Below are 6,266 nucleotides of genomic sequence, written 5' to 3' on the forward strand. Positions count from 1 at the left end.
AGGTGGATATTACCTAATTCTAATTTGTCAATTCCAGATCCCCAAAACACACACACACACGCGCACATGTGCGCACACACACAAAGGGGACTTTGAAAAAGAAGGGTGATGAGAATATATTTGTCCCTACCAGGTATATATTCACATTATAAAACCAAAGTCATTTAAATTAGTGTGGCACTCCTGCAAAAATTCAACAGACCAGGAAAAATGAGAATCAAGCAACAATTATAAGAGCTTGTTTATGAAAAAGAATCACAAACCAGTGACTGGAGAAGGCATTATGGAAATTGGCAAAATATGTAGGCATAGGCAGGAAATCAAGTTAGCATCACACTTGATATCACATACCAAAATTATATCCTCCTTTTCAAAGCTTTCCAGCCTCATCATGTGAGAAAAGTGTTTTCATCAACACCCTGACTTTAATCCTGGACAAGCTGCCTGGACTGTGGGAAAGGGCAAAGAGTCTCAGGTCACAAACCTTGTAATAATCATGGTAGAGTTCTGGACAACCGCTTACTATTTCTTTGCCTGCGTTTCTTCATGGTCAGAATGGATGGCTCCTTGTTATCTGTGATTCCACTTTCCCCTAGCCTCCCTGCTTCCCTCCAGGATGTCCAGCACCAGCCAGTGTACAGGCCCAAGGTCTGGACACCCTCCCTGCCTCTGGTTTCCCTAAGACACTGCCTGCGGCAGGGCTGGGGCTGTGGCAGCACACACCGTCGGGGCTGGTACTCCAGTGCTCCCCCGCCCACCACAGTGGATGAGGGCCCTACCCTAGAGCCCCCTCAGGCCTCCTGCACTTACTGCCACCAAACTCCAAGTCACCCCTACACACCCGCAACTGCTTTTTTACTTCCTCCTTAAGAGCTCAGGCTAAGCCTTCCTTTTCTCTTTGTGCTGTCAGTATCTCATCTCAGTTCAACATTTGTAAGTAAACTAAACAATGCTTTAGAATCTTTATGACTTCTACACTTCTAGAGTTCTCATATTTTCATTGCATGGCTCATATTTTCATGATTTTGTGTCCAAATTCTACTTTGCCCGACTTTCTGTATGATTAATCATAACTCCTCATTTGGTAATATTTTAATACCACTTTTAATTTCCAATATAATCTCTTACATTGACTGGTTAGCCAGAGCAAGCTTATTATTACTACAACTAGTTACCTGTCAATTTGTCAGAACACCACTGGCTCTACTGGCATCTCCCCGTGAACCGCCTCTTGGTGTTCATAACGTTGTGTAGTCCCCTTCCTGTGAATCTAGGGTGGTCCTGTCACTCTTCTTCCTTAATAGAATATGGCAGAAGTGATAGTTTGCACTGAAATTTCATGAAGGGCTGGAAGTTTCTACTCTTGAGCTCTTAGGATCCCTGAGCAACTCAGGAAGAATCCAGGAATTCTGCTGGAAATGCCATGTAGAAACTATGTGAAGAGGGAGAAGTCCTGAAACTACATGGAGAGAGAAAAAGCACAGCCCAGCTTGTTCCTTAATGCAATCACAGGAATGCACACTGGCAAGACGAGCAGAACCAAGCAGCTCAGCTCAGCCTAGCCCAGATTTCACAATTGTGAGCAAATAAAATGGTTGTTGTTAGGTAAAATGGCAATAGGTAACCAAAACATCAGTGTTAGCAAAGTGGCATAATTAATATATTGTCAAAGTTGTATTTCAAGAGTGAAGACTGCTAATAATGGCCAAAGAATCTGTGCTGCTTCCGCAACCATCAATAGGATAAACATGCTATGAATAATATGACAGGATATCAACTTTGTCTTAAATCAACCTTTTTACACTAACAGTAAAGTATAAATAAAATGTGTAAATTGTCCTCAGAGGGAAAAATACTCAGCTGTATTAGATTTCGAGGACAGGACTGACAGATCGTGCTGTGCCACAGAATTATGTCACATGCTGTGAGAAAGCTGTTCCTCACCAAGGGGCCCATAGAATCAACCATTGGGACTTTTCTTTCAGCTTCTACAATGAACACATTTCTAACATGTACCAGCTCTGAGGTCTGAACGAGTCATCCAGCTATGTATGCTTTCATTCTGGGACATCTGACCCAGGTTAAGATTCTGGCTAGTCACATTATTGTTAAGTAAACAGGAGCATAGGAGAGCTACGGTAATACTATTTTTAAATCAACTCCATCGTAAAACCAGCAAGGCACATTCCTGGCCAGTCACAATGCACAGTCATAACATGTTTTTGGCTAAGGAAGCAGTTTAGTAATGCTTGCAAGGATAAACTCCTATGATGGCAGAATGTCCAGATGTCCCGGTATCACATAACAATGTATACTTTTACGATATAGTCATGCTTTGATGTACTTATGCACTAAAATGCCACAGAAAACTTTTTAAAAACAAAGTACTAAATTTTGTCACGCTGTCAGCCTACCCCCACATAGACGTAATAGTTTTTACATAGATAAGACTCCTATACAAGAACAGTTTAAAACAAAGAAGGCACATTCCTCCATTTCGTTTCTGAGGACACCCTACTCTGTATCTGGGTAGCTTTCAATAAACTCTCTTCTCACTGTACTCTGCAACTCGCCTTGAATTCCTTCCTGCTTAGACCCAAGAGTTCTCTCTTAAGGTCTGGATTGGGACCTCTTTTTCTGGCAACACTATTTCCTACTTCATTTTAGCCTCTGATCCTCAGAGAAATCACTTTGAGCTGATTCTTTTTGTATCTACCTACCTATTTCTAAATACTGCACTATGCTTATGCAGTAAGATTGACAATTTTAGGTACTTCCTTCTGCTTTTTTTCTATTATGGGAGATGGAAATTTGGTGTTTTTATACCCCCTCTCACTTACCCTTCCATGATCCTACTAACATAGTTTCTATCAATTTTTTGTTAATTTATTTTCAGTGATCACATTTTTATGACTATGCCATATTGTCCAAACAGAGATAAGCAGTGTTCTATGATTACATTTTCTTCCTTATCCTATTTTTTGTTCTTTCTTATGCCTTTATGTTTGATTGGCTTGCCTAGATTTTATATACAGTTTAACCTCATTACTAATGGATTTCATATTTGTAAATTCACCTACTCACTACAATTTATTTGTAACCCAAATCAATACTTGTAGCACTTTCCCCAGTCATTTGTACACATGTGCAGAGCAGAGCAAATTTCAAGTTGCCCAAGGTGCATGTGACCAGCTGAGGTTGAACAAAGCAATGCCATACCTTCTTGTTTTAGCTCTTCTACCATAAAAAGCATCCTTTCACAATATATTTAGTGCTGTTTTAGCATTTTTGTGCTTTTTGTTGATTTTTGCTGTTTAAAATGGTCCCAAGTATAGTGCTAAGGTGCTGTCTAGTGTTCCTAAGTACAAGAGGGCTGTGATGTACCTTAGGAAAAAATACATGTGAAAGAGAAGCTTCCTTCAGGCATTATAGTGCTGTTGTCTTGTGAGTTCAGTATTAACAAATCAATATAGTAAATGTTATTTTATATATATTTTATATATTATATATTAATACCATTTAATACTAATATCGCATATTAAAGGCAAATTATGTATTGATCCGTTGACAAAAATGTTGTGATAAGAAGCTCATAGGAATCTTACCCTCTGGTGAATCATGAACTTTTCTATGCCACAATTTCTCTTGACTATAGAATGTGCCTTGTGGGACCTTTCTCAAAGCAGTTGTGAAATTTTAATGACATTAAACTTCTAAGACTGAGAATCAGTGTGCTGTGAAAATTAATACTTTATTATGTGAATAGGCACTATTCTAGAGAAAAGATCAATTTGTTTGGGCAGTAGCCTTAGGACTCATCTTATTTCGACATTTTATTTTATAGCTGAAGCTGCTTAAGCTCAGAGAGGTCAAAAGATTATCCCAATCCCATAACATCAGTAAAGGACAGATTCTGGGTAAAACCCCAGTGAGCCTTTTGGATCCTTCAGCCACTGTGCTGTCACTGTTCACCAGGAAACTATTTTGAAGAATGTTAGAGTTCTAATTCATCTGACAATTAATTTTAATGTTCAGTGAAGGATATCTTATGGGTGCAGTGATTGTGGTCTGTATTCCAAATTTTAGGGCCTGATTAGACAGAAACAGAAACACACCATAGCATTGCCTTTTTGACTGGGTCATAGTTTTTCAGCCTCTGCATACCCCATATTAATATTCAATAGATATTAGGATTTAATCATTCAATTTGATAGGAATTTCTGACAGGATCTGCCTGACTCTGATACTTTTCTCACCAGAATTGCTGATGAGAGTCTGTATTACTCCCAGTTCACACTGAGCCAATGATTATGTTTGTTGACATTAGGTAGAAATATACCTTGTCTTCCCAAAAACTGATCTCAGCTCAGGAAGCCTTGCTCTTAACCAATAGGCTATATTTATTCCTAAAACTGCATTTTTCTCACTTTGCTTGAAACACTTTTAACTCCTCCTTGTCCACCCCCTCAGGTTATTGCAATTTATTCTGGACTAAGATGAGAACCTCTCTCTTTGGAAAGCCTACCCTGACTCCCCAAAGTTGGGCATGACTATTCCCATGGCACGACTTGAACTTTATATTATCCAAATGAAAAAACAAAACCCTCTAGTCCCTTAAGAGTAGCTTAAATCTCAACATTGATATTTGAGGTTAATGTTTTAATTAATCTTGAAACATTAATCTAGACAGACTGATTTCACAGTCCCTAAAACACTGTGTTCAACTGTAAGATTTTACAAGCAATTCTTCCTGTCTGTAAAGTAGTAAAGGATTTTGGCCTCCTTTTTACCTATTAAAATACTAAATAAAGTCCAGTTTTAAAATTAATTTCTGATATATTCATCATGGTCAAAATATATCCAATATTTGATTATTTCTGTCACCTCCACTGTTAACACTATGTTAACACCTTATCTCTTTTAGGGGTAACTGCAATACCTCCTAATTGGAATCCCTGCTTTGGCTCTAGCCTCTACTTTGTCAGTTCTTAACACAGCATTCAGAATAAGCCTGTTTAAATTTGTTAGATCACTTAAAACCCTCCAGTGGCTTTTTACTTCACTTAGAATAAAAGACAAAGCCTTTACAATTACTTACAAGGCCCTATTACCTTTAATTTCCCTCTGTTTTCCTCCTCCCTTACAGTGCTGCAGTACATTCCAGGTCCATTCCTAGCCTCAGACCCTTTGCACTTGCTCTACCCTCTACACAGAATTCTTTTTCCATGGAGAGCTCCATGGCTCACTTGCTCCCTCACTTGTTTTAGTGAGATAACATCCTGGGATCTGAGTATGTGCATATGAGCTTCTACCATATGATGTTACATAACCCTGTTCTTTACAAGCCCCCTAATAGTATGAAACTCTATTTCCATAGAACATATTCCTGTAGAATTACTGTAGCAAAGAGTAACAGCAATTTTAAGGCTCAGGATTGGCCAAATTGTTTTTCCAAAAAGTCGTTATCAATTTACCCTCAACATAAGCATAAGTATACATCACTCCATACTCTTGCTGAAAATGGCTATTGTCATTTTTGTTAATAAAAGTGATACTGCTTTGCTTTAATCTGTTTATGTTCTTCGTCAAAATTTTAAATTAGGTGTCCATTTAATTAAAAAGAGTTTGTACTGTCACAATCATGGCAAATATTTCTCCTATTTTTGTCTGACTTATATGTTTTTCACCCAGTTTAAAAATTTTTATGTGGTCAAATTGTGTATTTTTTCTGAGTGTTTAAAAATCCCTCTAGAGAATTTTAAATATTTTATAGTGGAACCTCCTTTAAAAAAACAAAATCAAGTCATTTTTGCATATGAAGAGATAAAATGTGGCTACACTTGCAGTTCTTTTGCTTCTGAAGATACTAGTCTTCATGAAACCACATGGAGGTCCATGGAACACAGCTTGAAAACCTGTATTCAATCAATGTTTTATTCTGATATAGGTCATGAAATGAAAGTCTTTTTTATTAAAGAGTTAAATAATGATCTCAGCACAATTTACTGAATAATCCTCCTATTCGCAGATCTTTATCATGTGTGAACTCTATAAGCATATGCACTGTATGTTCAAATACACATATATAATCCATACACTGGTATATTTCTAAGCTATTTAGTGACTTAGAATCCTAACTTTTTTTTTCAAATATACAATTAAATTCTCCATTATTACAACTTCATATACCAATATACAATTTATTATATGTTAGGGCAATATCATTAATCTTTCTTACAATTATCTTTGCTCTTCTCCAATGTCTA

At 37.4% G+C, this 6,266-nt stretch overlaps 1 protein-coding gene across 1 annotated transcript in view, besides 1 other annotated feature; it reads left to right on the top strand.

Moving 5' to 3' along the window:
* Nucleotides 1-3,726, top strand: part of ZNF215 (zinc finger protein 215) — a 67,998-nt gene extending 64,272 nt beyond the window's left edge. The window contains exon 9 of the transcript XR_002957191.2: nucleotides 377-3,726. The gene's annotated coding sequence lies outside the window, so the exon portion shown is untranslated. The remainder of the gene's footprint in view (nucleotides 1-376) is intronic.
* Nucleotides 601-895: a silencer, noted in NCBI's record as "tiled region #9308; HepG2 Repressive non-DNase unmatched - State 21:Repr, and K562 Repressive non-DNase unmatched - State 7:EnhWF". NCBI's record gives its function as "represses a minimal TATA promoter and a strong SV40 promoter by Sharpr-MPRA in HepG2 and K562 cells {active_cell/tissue: HepG2 | K562}" and the evidence as "EXISTENCE:reporter gene assay evidence [ECO:0000049][PMID:27701403]".
* Nucleotides 3,727-6,266: the final 2,540 nt, after the last annotated feature.

The sequence above is a fragment of the Homo sapiens genome, chromosome 11 (assembly GCF_000001405.40).
Source record: "Homo sapiens chromosome 11, GRCh38.p14 Primary Assembly".
NCBI classification, from domain to species: domain Eukaryota; kingdom Metazoa; phylum Chordata; class Mammalia; order Primates; family Hominidae; genus Homo; species Homo sapiens.